The 17,965-nt window shown below is 37.0% G+C and overlaps 2 long non-coding RNA genes across 4 annotated transcripts in view; one reads left to right on the top strand and one right to left on the bottom strand.

Moving 5' to 3' along the window:
* LOC105375148 (uncharacterized) overlaps nucleotides 1-1,568 on the top strand; it is a 147,709-nt gene extending 146,141 nt beyond the window's left edge. For all 3 annotated transcript variants that reach the window (NR_187872.1, NR_187873.1, NR_187874.1), the window contains one exon: nucleotides 1,288-1,568. This is a non-coding gene — a long non-coding RNA (uncharacterized LOC105375148). The remainder of the gene's footprint in view (nucleotides 1-1,287) is intronic.
* LOC105375147 (uncharacterized) overlaps nucleotides 1-17,965 on the bottom strand; it is a 172,035-nt gene that overhangs the window by 10,424 nt on the left and 143,646 nt on the right. The window lies entirely within an intron of this gene.

Consider the following 17,965-nt stretch of genomic DNA (forward strand, 5'->3'; position numbering starts at 1 on the left):
AAGAAGACCAGCAGATTCCTATACTCTGGGACTAAATAATTTAACAGAGCAAATATTTCTCTAAATTTAAATTAAGGTTTTCTTATTGAGGAATGCTGTCTGGATTCTGTCCTAGAACATCAATTCTTGGTCGAAGAGGAAAAGGTACTTTTGTGTGAAAACATGGGATGTTGCCTTTCAAATCTCATACTCATCATTGGAGAAATTCTTTCCATGCTTTTAAATAGAAAGTCATAAGAAACAGGAATAATCCAAGGCCACCCTGACAGTAAAATAACCCCAGCTTTATAGGCTTAGTAGCCCTCTCCTTCAACCCCAGATGGAATAGCACATTGGCTATGGGAGCAGAAATATCATTAAAAGTAGCCAGAAGTACAGAAAGTTAGCATCAGTTGCTCTATCAATGGTCATGGGGGCAGCAGCTGCTGATTAAAGACACCAGGTACAGAAGCAGCTATGTACAGAATGTTCGTGCCTTTCTAAATTCATATGTTGAAATCCTACCTTCCAAGGTGATAATATTAGTAGGTAAAATTTTGGGAAGGTGGTTGTGTCATGATGATGGGGTCTCAGGAGTGGGATTAATGCCCTTATTAAAGAAACCCAAATGAGCTTGTTGCCCTTTCCACCACGTGAGAGAAGTTGCCCTGCGTGAGCCAAAAGTCAGACCCTAACCAGACACCAAATCTGCCTTGATCTTGGACTTCCCAGCCTCTAGAATTGTGAGAAATTTCTGTTGTTTGTAAGTAATCTAGTTTATAATATTTTATTTTAACAGTCTGCATGTACTAAAATGGAAGCACAGGTGAGTAACAGACTAGCAGGAAAAGAAGAAATGGTGGGGGTCATCTGGGGTTTTGTCAGGAAAAACGAAGTAGCTTGACATGCCAGTGGTTCTGCAGTGTGGAAGTCCTAACTAAACACAAAATATTTTTTGTGACTTTTGTTCCCAAGTTATAGAAAAAGGATGTTACTGTATAGCTATATTGTATTGCATTGCATTGCTTCTATAGCTGAATAGTTTAGGCTGAAGAAAGATTCATTATAAATAGTGAATTTCTCTTCAAAATATTGCTTTTATCACACACACACACACACACACACACACACACACAAACACACACACACACACAGCTAGATTACCAGGAGTGTTCTTTCTTTCTTTCTTTATTTTACCCGGAGTGTTTTTTAATCAAATTTTTTGAGTTAGATTTTTTTATTTGACACGTATATTAAGTTTTCAGCGATTCAAATTTTGGTTGTTTCTCTTTCCCTTTATATCAACAGAAAGAAACACTTCCACAAAGAATTTGATTTGATGGCATCATGTGGACATAGAACTCTCATAGTAATGACCCAACCTGTGTTTCCAGTCATCCTGATGAACTCTCAACAAAATCAGATTGTTATACTGTTGTTCTCACTTTACACCGATATTTTCTCTTGCTCCTAAAAAAAGTATCTGGTATTAAATAGAATTCTGTATCTTAAAAAACTTGCCATTGAGAAAAATGAGAAGTAACTGTACATTTTAATACTGAAGGTTTTAATAAAAAAAGCAGTGTGAACTATCTGTTCCATTTTTATTCCTCGTCTACAAAAGACAAAAGTGTCAGTATTGAGACAATTGCTTGATAACAGGGATCACAAATATTGCTCTTCCTGAAATTTTTGCAAACTTGAGGTTTACTTTCTTTAAGATTTCTGGGCAATTCTGTTAGGATAAAGTGCAAATCCTATAAATGAAAGGGTTACAACTGAGATAATTAAACTGATCATTGGAGCAAAAATATTTTCCCCTGGAGCAATTACTAAATTAAGGTTTACTTCATTTTGCTTGAAATAGTAAATTTGTTACCTCTCCAGTTTAGTTTATTAGTATAAATTAGACATGACATAAATGAGAACTATGTCAAGCTAATGAATTTCATTGGAAGTTGGCTATTGAAAGTTAGAAAGAAATGAAAAATAACTCATAATAAATTCATCTAACATGTCTTTTGCCTCCTACTCCGCAACATGGCCTTTGTCTGACATTTCTAGAAGAGCAGGTATTCCAAGTCAGTTAATTTTAGTTAGTGAAATTTTTTCTTTCAAGCAGCCAATTATTTTGACAAAAATATATCCATCACTGCCATCAACTGAGGTTAGGAGAAAACTTACTTAAGCACAGTGAAAACAGTGGATTGAAGACCATGAAAAGCGGGCCCAGGAGGCCCAAGGCATCTAGCGCCAAGAGTAGGGGGAATGTGAAATAAATTTGAGAAAGAACCTCTTGAAACTATGTTCCCCTGCTTTCTCAAATGGTATATATTTGATGTAACTTAATCCCTGCACGATTAGAGTCAACACTATAAACAACCGTAAAAACTGCACTGTAATACAGTTATACATAGGAGTTTTGCAGTTATGTAAAATACTAAATAAATCATATTCCACCTTTTTAAAATGTATCTATTTTCAGTTGTGTACATTGTTATACTAGTTTTCTATATCTTCCCTCACCAACAAGTTGTCCACTCTAAATTTGTTCTGCTGACAATATGTTTCTGGCTGTAGCCTACCTAAAGCCTTCTCACGTTTTGTTTCAAATACAAGCTGAGATATTAGGTAAGTCATAATGACATTAGCTGTGTATTTACTTGCAATAGAAAAAACTTTCACACTTATTCTATATTCTCTTGTTTTATTCAGATAGCTTTGAGTTGGATTTGTGTTGGTTTATTGAGAAGTAAATGGATTAGTACTTAGAATTCATTAGGACACACTTACAATCATGTCCAAAGTAACATTAAATAAAGAATAAAAGAAGCTCTCCTTTGAGTTACATGCATGGATTTTAGTACATGAGTTTTGTGGCATCTTTCGGCTAATTCATAGCATGTTTTTTTTATATTGAAGTTTCCATCCATAGTTTGTAATGGAGGTTATTTTACTATTTATTAATGGTGCTGAGGATTTAAAGGATATATAGAATAAGGGAGCTTGGAATATTGAGTTCCATTTAAATAATCATAAAAGTAACAGACCATTGGGGGAGATTAAAAGCCAGCCGAACTTGCTTTGAAATGTTCTATTTCTACAATATTAGAAATGTTGGATTCTCAAAGACTTGCAACCGTAAATCATATTTCCCAGAAGTAAAGCTTTTTGAGGGTATTCAGGCTGCTAGAAAAACAAACACACATCAAGAGTGGCCTTCAAAAAGACAGAGGAGGGTGTATTGTCAGGGGGCGCAGCAACAGACAGAAGGCAGTTGCCATGTAAGGAAGACACTTCCGTCACACCTTCTCAGGGTTTTACTACTGTAATATTGAAATAAATGTGCACTTTTTGTTATCCATTTTGTCTCTCTTTCATCATTATGGAGCCTTGAGATATTTAGTTTCGTCAGCTGAAAAAACACAGCCTAAGTGAAACCAATCAAAATCAATGTGTTGCTTACTTTTTGTATTTTTCTAAAAAAAAAAGTTATTATTTTGCTATCATTCTCAAATCATATTCTAAAATGAGCTGTCAGCCAACACGATTCCCATTTCAAATTTTCTTCTACTCTCCACACTCATGGATTTCCATCAGGGGAATATTACTGGTCCTGATTCTGAAAATAACTTCAGCACATCAAAAAATTATCTTAACATTCTCTTCCAAAAAGTGCTACCTCCAAAGTTTCTTTATAAGAGGGAGTTAAAGTTACAAGCAGGAACATATTTGAGTTGGAGATTCAGGGACTTGTTTTGCAGATGTGCTTGTCCACGAAGCACATATTTTATTATTTACGTAGCGTGGGGGTGGGTAATGGATGGGAGGAGTGGGGCTTTGGGAAGCATGTTGTTATGAGGGCTAATGGGGAAAGTGAGATTAAGCTCATTTATCTTAAGCTTGTTCTTGAACCTTTATTGGCTCTAACCTTGGCGAAATCACAACTCTTCATTCTTGTTAATGGTGCCATTGATTTTACATCTCTAAAGCTAGAATCAAAACACTTTTAATTCCTTTTGTATTGCATTTCTCTAAACAGTCCCATTTTCACCCTTGCATAATTCTGCCACTTGACCCTGAAATCCTAATAGCCTCATTGATGGCATTTAATGCTCAACTTCCACATATGACCATCAGTAGTCCATGTTGAGAACACACGGAGACAGAGATGTATTTCCAAATTAATTAATTTTAGTTTTTCATATCTTTTTGGAATTTCAAAGAGTATACGCTTGGATGTTGAATATATTTGAACTTAACCTCTGAATTTAACACTCAAATAAGTAGGTTAACTTGAAGACACCCAACCTACAGAATCAGGTACTGTGAAAATTTTAAAAACAATGCCACAAATTATAAAATTCAGTTTCTTCATACATAATAACATACATAGTTTAGGGGTGCATGTGATAATTTAATATATTCACTTAATTTGCAAAGATCAAATCAGTGTAATTATATATCCATTACTTTAAATATTTGCCTTTTCTTCTAGAAACATTTGAATTATTCTCTTCCAGCTATTTTGAAATACATAACAAATTATTGTAAACTATAGTCACCCTGCTGATCTACCAAACACTATGTCTTATTTCTCCTATCTAACGGTGTACTTCTACCTATTAATCAACCTCTCTCTTCCTTCCCCTCTCCTCATCCTTCCTGGCCTCTGGTAACAACCAATCTATAATCTTCATGAGATCCACATTTTTAGCTCCTACATACGAGTGAAAACATGCAATATTTGTCTGTCTGTGCTTGGCTTATTTCACTAAACAAATGATTCAATTAAAAACTTCTTCCAGGAGTTTCTTTTTTTTTTTTTAACTTTAAGTGCTGGGATACATGTGCAGAACGTGCAGTTTTGTTACATAGGTATACACGTGCCATGGTGGTTTACTGCACCCATCAACCTGTCATCTATATTAGGTATTTCTCCTGAGGCTATCCCTCCCCTAGCCCCTCACCTCCTGACAGGCCCTGGTGTGTGATGTTCCCCTCCCTGTGTCCATGTGTTCTCACTGTCCAACTCCCACTTATAAGCAAGAACATGAGATGTTTGGTTTTCTGTTCTTGTATTAGTTTGCTGAGAATGATGGTTTCCAGCTTCCTCCAAGTCCCTGCAAAGGACATGAACTCCTTTTTTATGACTGCATAGTATTCCATGCACATTTTCTTTTCCCAGTCTCTCACTGATGGGCATTTGCGTTGGTTCCAAGTCTTTGCTATTGTGAACAGTGCTGCAATAAACATATGTGTCCATGTGTCTTTTAGTAGAATGATTTATAATCCTTTCGGTATATACCCATTGATGGGATTGCTGGGTCAAATGGTATTTCTGGTTCTAGATCCTTGAGGAATTGCCACCCTGTCTTCCACAATGGTTGAACTAATTTACAGTCCCACCAACAGTGTAAAAGCATTCCTATTTCTCCACATCCTCTACAGCATCTGTTGTTTCCTGACTTTTTAATGATCGCCATTCTAACTGGTGTGAGATGATATATCACTGTGGTTTTGATTTGCATTTCTCTAATGACCAATGATGATGAGTTTTCGTGGGTTTGTTTGGCCACATAAATGACTTCGTTTGAGAAGTATCTATTGATATCCTTCACCCACTTTTGATGTTTTTTTTTTCTTGTATATCTATTTGAGTTCTTCGTAGATTCTAGATATTAGCCCTTTGTCAGATGGATAGATTGCCAAAATTTTCTCCCATTCTGTGGGTTGCCTGTTCACTCTGATGACAGTTTCTTTTGCTGTGCAGAAGCTCTTTAATTACATCCCATTTGTCAATTTTGGCTTTTGTTGCCATTGCTTTATTGTTTTAGTCATGAAGTTTTTGCCCATGCGTATGCCCTAAAAGGTGTTGCCTAGGTTTTCTTCTAGAGTTTTTATAGTTCTAGGTCTTACATTTAAGTCTTATTCCATCTTGAGTTAATTTTTCTATAAGGTGTAAGGTATAAGGAAGGGGTCAAGTTTCTGTTTTCTGCATATGGCTAGCCACTTTTCCCACCACCATTTATTAAATAGGGAATCCTTTCCCCATCTTTGTCAGGTTTGTCAAAGATCAGATGGTTGTAGATGTATGGTGTTATTTCTCAGGCCTCTGTTCTGTTCCATTGGTCTATATATCTGTTTTGGTATCAGTACCATGATGTTTTGGTTACTGTAGCCTTGTAGTATAGTTTGAAGTCAGGTAGCATGATGCCTTCCGCTTTGTTCTTTCTGCTTAGGATTGTCTTGGCTATGTGGGCTCTTTTTTGGTTCCATATGAAATTTAAAGTAGTTTTTTCTAATTCTGTGAGGAAAGTCAATGTTAGCTTGATGAGGATAGCATTTAATCTATAAATTACTTTGGGTGTTATGGCCATTTTCACGATATTGATTCTTCTCATCCATGAGCTTGGAATGTTTTTCCATTTGTTTGTGTCCTCTCTTATTTCCTTGAGCAGTGATTTGTAGTTCTCCTTGAAAGGATCCTTCACATCCCTTGTAAGTTGGATTGCTAGGTATTTAATTATCTTTGTAGCAATTGTGAATGGGAGTTCACTCATGATTTGGCTCTCTGTTTGTCTGTTATTGGTGTATAGGAATGCTTGTGATTTTTGCACATTGATTTTGTATCCTGAGACTTTGCTGAAGTTGCTTATCAGCCTAAGGATATTTGGGGCTGAGACGATAGGGTTCTCTAAATATACAATCATGTCACCTGCAAACAGACAATTTGACTTCCTGTCTTCCTATTTGAATACCCTTTATTTCTTTCTCTTGCCTTGATTGCCCTGGCCAGAACTTCCAATACTATGTTGAATAGGAGTGGTGAGAAAGGGCATCTTTGTTTTGTGCCCCGTTTCAAAGGGAATGCGTCCAGCTTTTGCCCATTCAGTGTGATATTGGCTGTGGGTTTGTCATAATTAGCTCTTATTACTTTGAGATATGTTCCATCAATACCTAGTTTATTGAGAGTTTTTAGCATAAAGTGGTGTTGAAAAACTTCCACAAGTTTCCAATTGCCTCTTAGCGACTGTGTGGTGGGTGGGTGGGAGAGGGAGTTCCTTGTGGAACTATTTAGAAGAAAAAGACACTTTCTCAAAACATCCTCATTATTGCCACACTTTTCCTTAATAATTTACCTAATTTTATATTTTAAGTTTTGTATATTATATCTTATTTCATTATTTCTTTCCACAGAAAGTTTTAGGAATGATGTATGATCATTTTATTATTTTCTACAACAAATTATTGTGTTGGAGTGTTTTTATGATTATTAACTAAAAATATATATAGTAAAGGGTTTGTTTTTCTTTACTTAATTGGCACATTAAGGAATATTTCCAGAAGCTGATTTGTAGTCTATCGATCCAAACAAATAAAAATAGAAAGCTCAACATTCTTTACAACTGTCCACACATCAAATGGATTTGAACCTTTCTGTAGCCCTTTCTATTTGTTGTTCATTTATCTTGGATGTCAGGACTCTGTATTTGTAGGCGATGCTGTTAAATGTGGAATCATAACTGGTGCTTTCTATTTTAAAGTAAAGTATTTTTAAAGACTAAGATTAGTTTGAACTTCAAATTATCTTTAGATATAGAGAAGAAAATAATAAATATCTTGAACCTGATGTATAAAGTATTTTGTTTTGAATTGTGTTTTTGTTCCTCTAATGTAAAATATTAGCAAAATAATAATTGATGAAAAAAAGCACCTGTTCAATTTATGTTTATCATCTTATACATCAGTTCATAACCCTATGTAATAAAATGTATGCAAAGATTGCATTCATGTAACATTTCTTGCACCATATTTTTAAAAACTGAAACATACCTCCTACATTTTATAGATCAATAAAGACTGTTTTTTCTCATTAATTTTTGAGATTCTGACTTGTGAATAGTTTCAGTAAATATTTATTGAGCCACTATTATTTGAAGAGGTTTTTTATTATATTAATGGTATTTATCATAGATACTTTAAATAACAATAAAATGCAATAAAGCATTATTGCTTCTTTATCTCAAATGACATAAATTTACATAACTGTACTTTAATTTTTAAAATTGTATTAAATGATATATGTAATAAATATATAATGGTATTATTTTCATCTCCAAAATCTGTGATATTATAATAAATAAATACTCAGGACCTAACAATAATAGATAGTCTGTATTGAGTACTTATAATGCAGGCCCTGTTAAAATATTTTCCTTCAGCAAAAACTCACTTCATCCTCAAAACAACCCTAGGAGATAGAGTTTTATAGATGGAGAGCCCAATCCACAGAGATTTTAGTTAATTCTTTAAAATTTAAGTACGTTTTTAAAAGTCTCTCTTTTAATCAACTTGATTACTTGCCATAGTCAGAATCCTAACTTGAGCTACTTTAGGCATATCTAAACTGGAGGTGATTGGCTTATCTGTGGAAGGACATGGATGTGTGATTTTTCTCTTGTGCCGTGAAATTAGGCAGCTCCCATGCTCATACTTGCCCAGCATTTGAACTAGAGAAAAAAGACTCTATTCCCATAGACTCAGCTTGATTGTTTGACTCCTCTTTCTCTTCTGTTCAGGAGATCCATTGCTGACAGAGGATGACTACAAAGCTGGCAGGGGGTTGTTTCACTTCTGACCAGATGGATGGGTTCCCTGCTTCAAAGGGATGGGTGCACTGCTGACATGGGGATGGGTGCACTACTGAGAAAAGATGAGTACACTGCTGACAAATGTTGGGTACACTGTTGACAGACAATGAGTGCACTGCTGATCAGAAGAATGGTAGCACTGCAAACCGGGAGCATGGAGGTACTGCTGCAAGTGGGATGGGTGCACTGCTGGAAGGGGATAAGTGCATCGCTCACCAGATGGATGGGTGCACTGAAGTCGAGGGGATGGGTGTGCTTCTGACAGGGAATGGGTAAACAAATGACCATGGATGGTGTGTTGCTGACAGGGAATGGTTGCCCTGCTGAGAGGATATGGGTCAACTGCTGATAGGGGATGGATGCACTGCTGGAAGAGGAAGGGTACGTTGCTGACGAGGTGGATGAGTGCACTGTTGACCAGGGAATAGGTATGCTGCTGAGAGGGGATGGATGTATTGTTTCACAGGGAATGGGTGCATTGCTGACTAGGTGGTAGGTGCAACTGCTGATACTAAATTCCCCCTGAAGGAGCTGTCCACACTTTCAGTGCTGATGGTTTGACTGTTAACTGGATTTAATTCATCTGAGGAAAGGCTGGACTTGGTAAGGGAGAAAGTAGGCTGCATTCTGAAGCCACAATAAGTATTAGCTAGCATGCACAGAGAGAAGCCCTCTGATTGGATTTTGAGATTTTGTGATTAAGGGGGTCTGAATATAAGAATAGATGATCAGGCAAATTAGCTGCTATGCATCCAAGAAGCCTACAGAAAATGCTAGTCTATGATAAGTGAAATAGCAATGCCTCCATTTTTCTGAGAACATAGTGAAAGGAAGAAAAAGGCTCAAAAATACCATCATGCTACAATGTATTTATTAGGTGACATCAGAAGCCCCTCAAAGAATTTTAATCCCTGGGAGAGCCATAATCCTGCCAGTGATTTAAAGCTATCAAGAATACATAGGTATAAAGACACTGGCATTACTACAGCTAGGCCTGACCATACGAGAGGTGGACGCAGAGATGGGCTCATTAATATCCATGAGCATAGTGAGGCCTTGAAAAATATAGGTGAGGTGGCAGTGCCTAACTGCCAGAAATCAGGGGGATGAAAGTGATAGATATTAGCAAGGTTAGAGGAACAATCCCCAGAGAGTTATGAAGGGGATTTATAGGCTATACCATCCCTTGGGCAAAAGCCATGGTCGGCCAACAAGGGCACTGCTTAGCATCTACAATGAAAAGGCTTGATTAAAAGTCACAGTCCCTTCCTCAGATTCTAGATCTAAATTTTCAGTTTGAAACCCATAGTCTGAAGAGGTGACCAGATGCCCAGGAGGAAGGACCCTGCAACATTTTAGCAAGTATATATTTTAATGATCCTCCCAGCCTTTCCCCAAAGGGACCTAGGGACATTGTTTACCCTCGTGACTGTACATTGAGAAAAGAGGACTATTTACAGAACAATTAGGCACAAAGTCTTAATTGACATTGACATGTGATGAGCCAAAGCATCATCATATTCTCCCTCTCCTTTCACAGGTAGGAGTGCCATGACGTTTCACATGCTAAAACCTGATCACCAATGTGATGGTTTTAGGAGGTGAAGCCTTTGGGAGATAATTAGGTCATGAGGTCTGAACCCTCAAAAATGAGATCAGTGCTCTTGTAAAGAGGCCCCTGAAAGCCACCTTACCCTTTCTACCATGTAAGGACATGGCGAGAAGGTGCTGTTTTGAGGAAAACAGTCCTTGTCAGATACCTAATCTGCTGGCACCTTGATTGCAGCCTTTCTAGCCTCTAAATTTGTGAAAAATAAATTTTTGTTGCTAGATAGTGAGGTAGGACTTTTCTTGGCCCTTTTGTTGGACTCGTGACAAGGATGAATGTTTACTGGGCCTGCTGCACTCAACCCCTTGTAGGAGGGAGCCCATGAGCAAATGAGTGCAGGACCAGGCCAGACACTCCAGGCGCTGGTAGAAGCAAGCTCCGTGCGGTGGTGCTCAAATAAGGGGCATGCCTGAGACCCCAAGACCCCAGAGGGGGTGTTACAATGCTCCTTTAGTTCTGCTGTCTGTGGACGGCTGTGTGTTAACAGCTCAGTTGGCCCTTTGCCTCATCCTGTTGGGCGGTTTCCCTCTGCCATCAAGGGCAAAGGGCCGATGTGACAGCATTTTTTGGGTATCCACACTCAGTGGGTCCCGAGCTCTTGTCCAGCATCCAAGAAGAATGAGGTCACGCAGCCATTTGAAAGATGGTGAAGGTGAAGAATTTTATTGAATGGTGGACTGGCTCTCAGCGAAGAGGGTAGCTGGAGAGGGAATGGGAAAGGCAGATAGTTTTCCTTGAAGTTCATCTGTCCCTTCCCCGAACTCAAGCCATCTCATCTTCCCCAAAGTTTGGCCATCTTCTCTCCAAAGTCAAGCCATCTCTCCACTCTACTGACTGAGTCTGGTGTCTTTATAGGTGCAGGATAGGGGTGGAGTGGGCCATAGGTAGTTTTGGGAAAAGCAACATTTGATTGGTAAAAATGCATTATTCAGAAAGAACCAATTGGGAGAGAATGAGCAAACAGGAATAGAAGTTCTCACTTTGGGCCACAGGTTTCAGGCTACTTTGGTTTGAAGGTGAGGTTTCACCAGGCACCCACCCTTTTATGCGTGGAATTTTCTTGCCTCTTGTCTCTCAATAGCAGCCCTAACGAACTAACACATGAGGCTTGCAGAGGGCAAGAGAACCTACTACAGGGAGCAGCTTTCTGACAGTCTCCAGCTACTTCCTTTTTGATCTACCACAGTGCTCACAACAAGGCTGCTTACCCTAGGCTGTCTCTAGCCAATGCCTAAACATGGAGAGGGACCTTAGAGCTGGCCCATTCCTGTCTGACATGGGACTCCTCCAGTGGATAACCCTTGCTTGAATACTCTGCACCAGGCTGGCTGACTTTCGTAACTGGAACTGTGATACAAGAAATGTAATATCCAATTTTTTCTATGTTTCTTTCTTTCACAGTGGGCACACCTGAATCATATTCTGAAGCCACTCCATGTCTACTCTGGCCCTCTCCCTCTTTATCTTTCACAGGCATTTTCCCTAATAGATCTCCAATATCTTGCACATCTAAAATTGCCTTGGCGTTGCTTCTTGCAGGGCCTGAACTGACAACTACAAAATGGACTTTCTAATTCACAAAAATAAATGATAACACACAAAATAAAGGAAAAATGTATATGTGTCAGAGCTCAAGTAAAGATTAAAATAAAATAAAATAAAATGACCTTGCAGATTGCATATTCATGGAATTATTTTTCCAAAAATGTAATGGGGCATTCTTAGAAAATACAATGGTGCTAGTCAGGCAGAACTGCTATCAAATGCTTTCTAACACTTTCACTTACAAACTGTATAATTTGGGTCAAGTTACTCGACACCGCTTAGCCTTAGCTTCCTCAATTTAAAAATAGGCACACTAATAGTTAATAGAATAAATATTTGCTGTAAACACTAGTGGGGCCATAACAGTAATTTAAGGTCAGCATTAATGTTCAACCAATTGTTATTTTTTCATAACCCCTTTACAGGACTGCTGAGAAAATTTAATGAAACAAAAGTTCAAAGTTTGAAGCATTGTACCTGATAAGAATGTAGTAAAAGCTCAGTTTACGTTAAAAACGAAAGATAACAGTTTAAAGATGGCCACAACTTATTTGACATTCCTCCTATTGAGAAAGAGAATCTCTTTTCTATTCTCATGAATCTGGACTGGTTTTTTACCTGCTTTGGTTAATAATGCAATAATAGTTTGCCAGTTCTTAGCCTAACTTCAATAGCACAGGCAGCTTATACCTTATACCTCATCTATTAGAGACTACCATGTAATAAGCATGAATACCCTGAGACCACGATTTGTGAGGATCCATACAGAGAGAGGAAAAGAAACACTGAGGTGTCAAACATGAGAGTAAAGAAGTCATTTTGAAAGTGCATCCTCCATCTCCAATTATCCCAGCCAACATCACATGGATCAGACATTAACCACCCAGCCTAGTCCTTCTCAACTTCCTGAATCGTGAAATCATGAGCAAAATACAATTGTTTAAAACCATTAAAGTTTAGGGTAGTTACTTAGGTAGTGATAGATAACTGAAACAGCTTCTACTCAAAACTGAAAATGCAAAGGGGAATTAAAGAGTTGTGAAATAAATTTTAGAAGTTAAGACTGTTGGAGGCTGTTTCCTTGGACTTTATTTTGATTTCGAGGAAAATAGCATAATTTTTCACAGCACCTGTTACTAAATAAACCAGACTGAACTGAATTTAAACCCTAACTTTGTCACTTGCTGAATGACTGTAAATTAAGTAAATTTCCCAGGCACAGTTTGCTTGTAAGGAAAATAGATATAGTCATAATTTCTAAGGTTATCATAAAGTTATAAGTGGCAAAATGTGAGCACTTTTTTTTCCAGTACATTTTGTGGTATACAGCGTAGTTGATAGTCTCCATTAGCAAATGTAGTTGCTTAGTATTTTACCTCATCTATTTTGGAGTTTTGCATTTGAGCCTAGCCTCACAATTCCTACTTCATAGCCTATGCAACCTGTATTCAGAGTAATTCCAAATCATTCCTGAGATATAAAGGTGGTAGCAAAAGTGCTCCGTACACTATGTATCAAATAGACCATTGCCCACGTTCAAGGAAAAAAATCATAGGCTCTGCTGATTGCCCTTATAAATAAGTCGACTTGGAGACCTTGGATCCCTAGTACATAGTGCTGGCTTGTAAAACTTTAAGACAACAATGGTATCCTTTATAAAGACATGTTTTTTTTTCTTCCTTTGAATTTAGTTTCAGTAGCTCTACCAATGACCTCTGTCAATAAGGAATATATTACTTTTCAGATTTTGGCATCATTCAGAAATACAGTTCTGCCAAATATGTTTTAAGAAATCTGTCATGCCTGCCTCTATCAGATAGAGTCCACCAGGACATAGATATATACTTAAAATGGTTCTTAGAGAAGGTTTAATGAAATGATGGTTCATAAAGTTTGGGAAGAGGTTAAGGGATCCACCAAGACAGAGAAAACACAGAGATACTAGAAACTGTAAACTGTTGCCTCACCTACGGTTACAAAAGCAAGGCGATAGAAGTATTTCCATCTTCCAACTGCCCTTGGGAATTTCTTTGGCAAATCCTAAACAGAAGCAGAGAACTGGAAAGGTCAGTTGATGCAAGACCATGCCATCAGCTTCCTGAGGCACAGAGAAAAGCAAGAAAAGAGCACATAATGAACCTCAAGGTCCAAGCCTAAAATAAGCAGCACACTGCCTGACTGTTGATTTCAACAGTATTGTTAGCTTGTCTGCTCTGAATGATGGAACTCGGTTTGATGTTGAACAGCTGTCAAACTTGCCTGCCCTATTTATAGTCTATTGCCTTTTTCAAGTCAGCATTCACTAAAAAAAAGAGTGAAAAATAGTCAAAATATGTAGATTATAGGGGAAACACTTCAAATAGAACTTCACTAGTAATTAGAAAAAGCAAATTGCTCTAACACATATATATATACGTTATAGTGCCTATCTCACTATAATAAGATATTATTTATACCCTTCAGGGCAGCAAAGTTTTCAAGTTTTGTATTACCGGGGGTTGGTATGGATCTGGCCCCAGGAACTCTGCTGCATTGTTGGTGGGAGTGTAAATTTGTTTATGTTAAAGACACTGAGAGAAATTTCATCCACTATAGTAACATCCTCCAGTCATACTGGGATCAATAGAATTGGATTCCCTGTCTAAATCTGAAGGCCTATTCAGTGACAGGCTTCAGTAGGCCTTGCCCTCTCAGATTACTCAGACCTATGAGCTCTGCCCTTGATTTCCAAGAGAGACAAACCTCTCCTCGGCAGCTCATCTACAGTTGTGATCTCCCCTCAACAGAGCAAGTAAAACTCCAACTGGCACTCTTAATTTTAGCTTGCAAATAAATCACATCTTAGACAATCCCTCCAGGCACTAATCAACATGTGCTCAGGCCACGTCTACTCAGAACACACTTTTCTGTTACAATACTTATTTGGGGGTGGAGAGAATTTTAGTGATTTCTTGTTGCTATTTTCTTCTTTGCATTTTTCTATATTGCTTAAACAACTTATAATGAGCAGATATCATTTGGAAGCATGCAAACAAAACAAAATGAATAATAACAAACGGTGTTTATTCTTGAAATAATTTAAAGTTTTAAAAATAAATGAATTATTTTCTTAAAGATGGGGGATCTCTGAGAAGAAAAAGTTTTTAAAAAGCAATTAGTTTGTAAATGAATTATGTTCATTTCCAGAGATAATTTGTAAACAATTATTATTCTCATTTTATAGAAAAACATATAGAAATTTTGAGTTGGAATGTAAATGATACTACTTCTAAGAATCCAAATGTTAAAATCTCAACTTTGAATTTTACATTTTAATAAAAAATACAAAACTCATTTGCACAAGTTCACTCATAGCAGAAAAAACAGCCACCAAAACCCAAGTCTCTCAAGTGAACACATTGAGTCTTAGGAGCCTTAGTATATATCTTTTAATATTAAATAATTGCCTTACTGACCTCTCTCTTTGATCTACCCAGATGATGTTTTTTATTGATAAATGCTGATTGTTTTTTAACCTACAATAGATAATGTTTATAATAAAATTTAAAAGTCTTTTTTCTTTTTTTTTTTTTTTTTTTGAGATGGAGTCTTGCTCTGTCACCCAGGCTGGAGTGCCGTGGTGCAGTCTCAGCTCACTGGAACCTCTGCCTCCCGGGTTCAAACGATTCTCCTGCCTCAGCCTCCCAAGTAGGTGGGATTACAGGCATGCGCCGCCATGCCCAGCTAATTTTTGTATTTTTTAGTAGAGATGGGATTTCGCCATGTTGGCCAGGCTGGTCTTGAACTCCTGACCTCAGGGTGATCTGCCCACCTCGGCCTCCCAAAGTGCTGGGATTACAGGTGTGAGCCACTGCACCTGGCTGAAATAGTCTTCTTTTCAAATATCAAGCATATAAAGCTTAGAATATGTTAGCATGAGTGAGTGGTCAACAATAAAATGATTTAGTTCTTTAGATTAGTTTAGAACACAGTTTTAATTTAATGGCCTCTTTATGTATCTACCTAAATATGATATTTTTTAGGGAATATAATTGCTCTGATTAGGATTTTAAGAACCATCAGGACATAAATACTTGCATTGATTCTATGTGGCTTTCAAGAAAATTAACACACTCCATGCCAAACAGGACAGTGGTACTCAAATGTGAGTGAGAAGAAGACTTATCTGAAGTACTTATTAGACATGGAGACTCTTACACTTCACATCCAAAGAATCTGATTCATTGGCAGAGTTGGAAAATCTGTATTTTATGGAATGAATGAAACACAAGCCATTCTAATAGAAGGTGCCCGTGAGCGTAAGTTTATATAGAAGATAATACAGTGATATTTTCTTTTCCTATTATCTCACAAATATAACCAAGTTCTAAAACCATATAGATAAGTATATGTATAAATTTACAGACATACATATACCTGTTTCTATTTTATCTATAATTTTTAATAGAAGCCATTATTCAGTTCTCTAATTTATGCCATAAAATTAAAAACAAGATGCACCTTTATATGCACAATGGGTCACTAATAGCTTCCAATTCTGGTCTACATTTCTATTTATATTGAGTTGAAGAGATATAAATAGCCTTTTCAATATGTGGTTTCATGGCTTCATGAAAAGGGTTTATACTAACATGAACAAGAAGAAGCTTACAAAAGAACATAGTAAGTTTAATAAATGTCATCATATGCACATCAAGGGTTTTGATGGCTACCACTAAATGATAATATAAATAATATTATTGGCTGTCCCTTTTCTGAATATTGACAAGGTACCATTTTGTTCTTAGGTTCATGGCATGAATCAATGTTTCTTAGTCCATAAGAACAACATGAAACGTTTTCTGAAACATACAGTTAACAGTTTTCACCATACTTTTTTCATTCCATATGCAAAGGACACAATGTGATGGTGTATCTTTTAAAAAAAAGCACCCAAGTGATTCTGTTGTGAATATAGGGAACTACTGGTCTTTAATCTTAGTACTCAACTGTTCCTATTCTTTTCATCAATTACTTGATTACAGAACAGCGAATAATGATTTTTGAAATATCTAGGCCATAGATACAGAGATTTGAAAAGCGTTAGCAGGTGAATAACATGTAGTAATCTTTCAAATGATAATCTAATTGAAGTTATATACTCTTTTCTTGAAATATTTAAAATATTTGGCATGCATGCTTTCATCAGTGTATCAAGCCCTATCCAGGGGCTTGAAGGGCCATCTGAAACCTACTCAAGTACATTCTAAAAACCATTGATTCTAGGTTAAAGAAACCTAGGCATAGCTGAAAATCTGAAGACCATGCCATTCAGGCAATCCTCTATAAACTTTACTTTTCACACTTGGGTGTGTCTGAAAACTACACATGTACATCATAAAAAATCATTGATTCTAGGTTAAGGACATGTAGGCATAGCTGAATATCTGAGGACCATGCCCTTCAGACAATCCTCCATGAACCCTATGTTTCACAATCAGGTGTTTGATAATGCTGAAGGAGTACATGATTGTAAATCCTGACAAGAAAACCTAAAATAGGTATGCTGCACTTACAAAATCAAGAACATTTTTATATACTTTAAAAAGTAGTTGGGTAGAGGGTGTTACTTTCTAAGTAAGACACTTAATTAAGACTCATGTGTAGGCGTTTGGCAATCCTACTTCTGCCCACAGGTCCCAATGAGGCATGCCTTCAGGCAGAGTCAGAACTTCCTTATACTATAGTTCTGGGTCTAATCCAAGTTATACAGCAATTCCAATTTTTTTTTTGTTTTAAATTGACAGATAAATTCACCTAGTATGACATGATGTTTTGAAGTATATAGTCATTGCAGAATGACTAAACCTAGATAATTCTCATATGCATTATCTCACATAGTTATCATTTTTATGGCAAAAAATTACTTCGTGTCCAATCCCTTAGCATTTTTCAAGAATACAATATACACTCATTTGTCACTTAACCATGGGGATACATTCTGAGAAATGCGTTTCAGGCAATTTCATCACTGTGCAAACATCAGAAATTACTTATACAAACCTAGATGGTATAGCTTACAACACACTTGGGTTGTATGGTATAACCTATTGCTCCCAGGCTACTAACCTGTATGGCATATTACTGTACTGAATGCTGTAGGCAATTGTAGAACAATAGTATTTGCATATCTCAGCAT

This window comes from Homo sapiens, chromosome 7 (genome assembly GCF_000001405.40).
Source record: "Homo sapiens chromosome 7, GRCh38.p14 Primary Assembly".
NCBI lineage: Eukaryota > Metazoa > Chordata > Mammalia > Primates > Hominidae > Homo > Homo sapiens.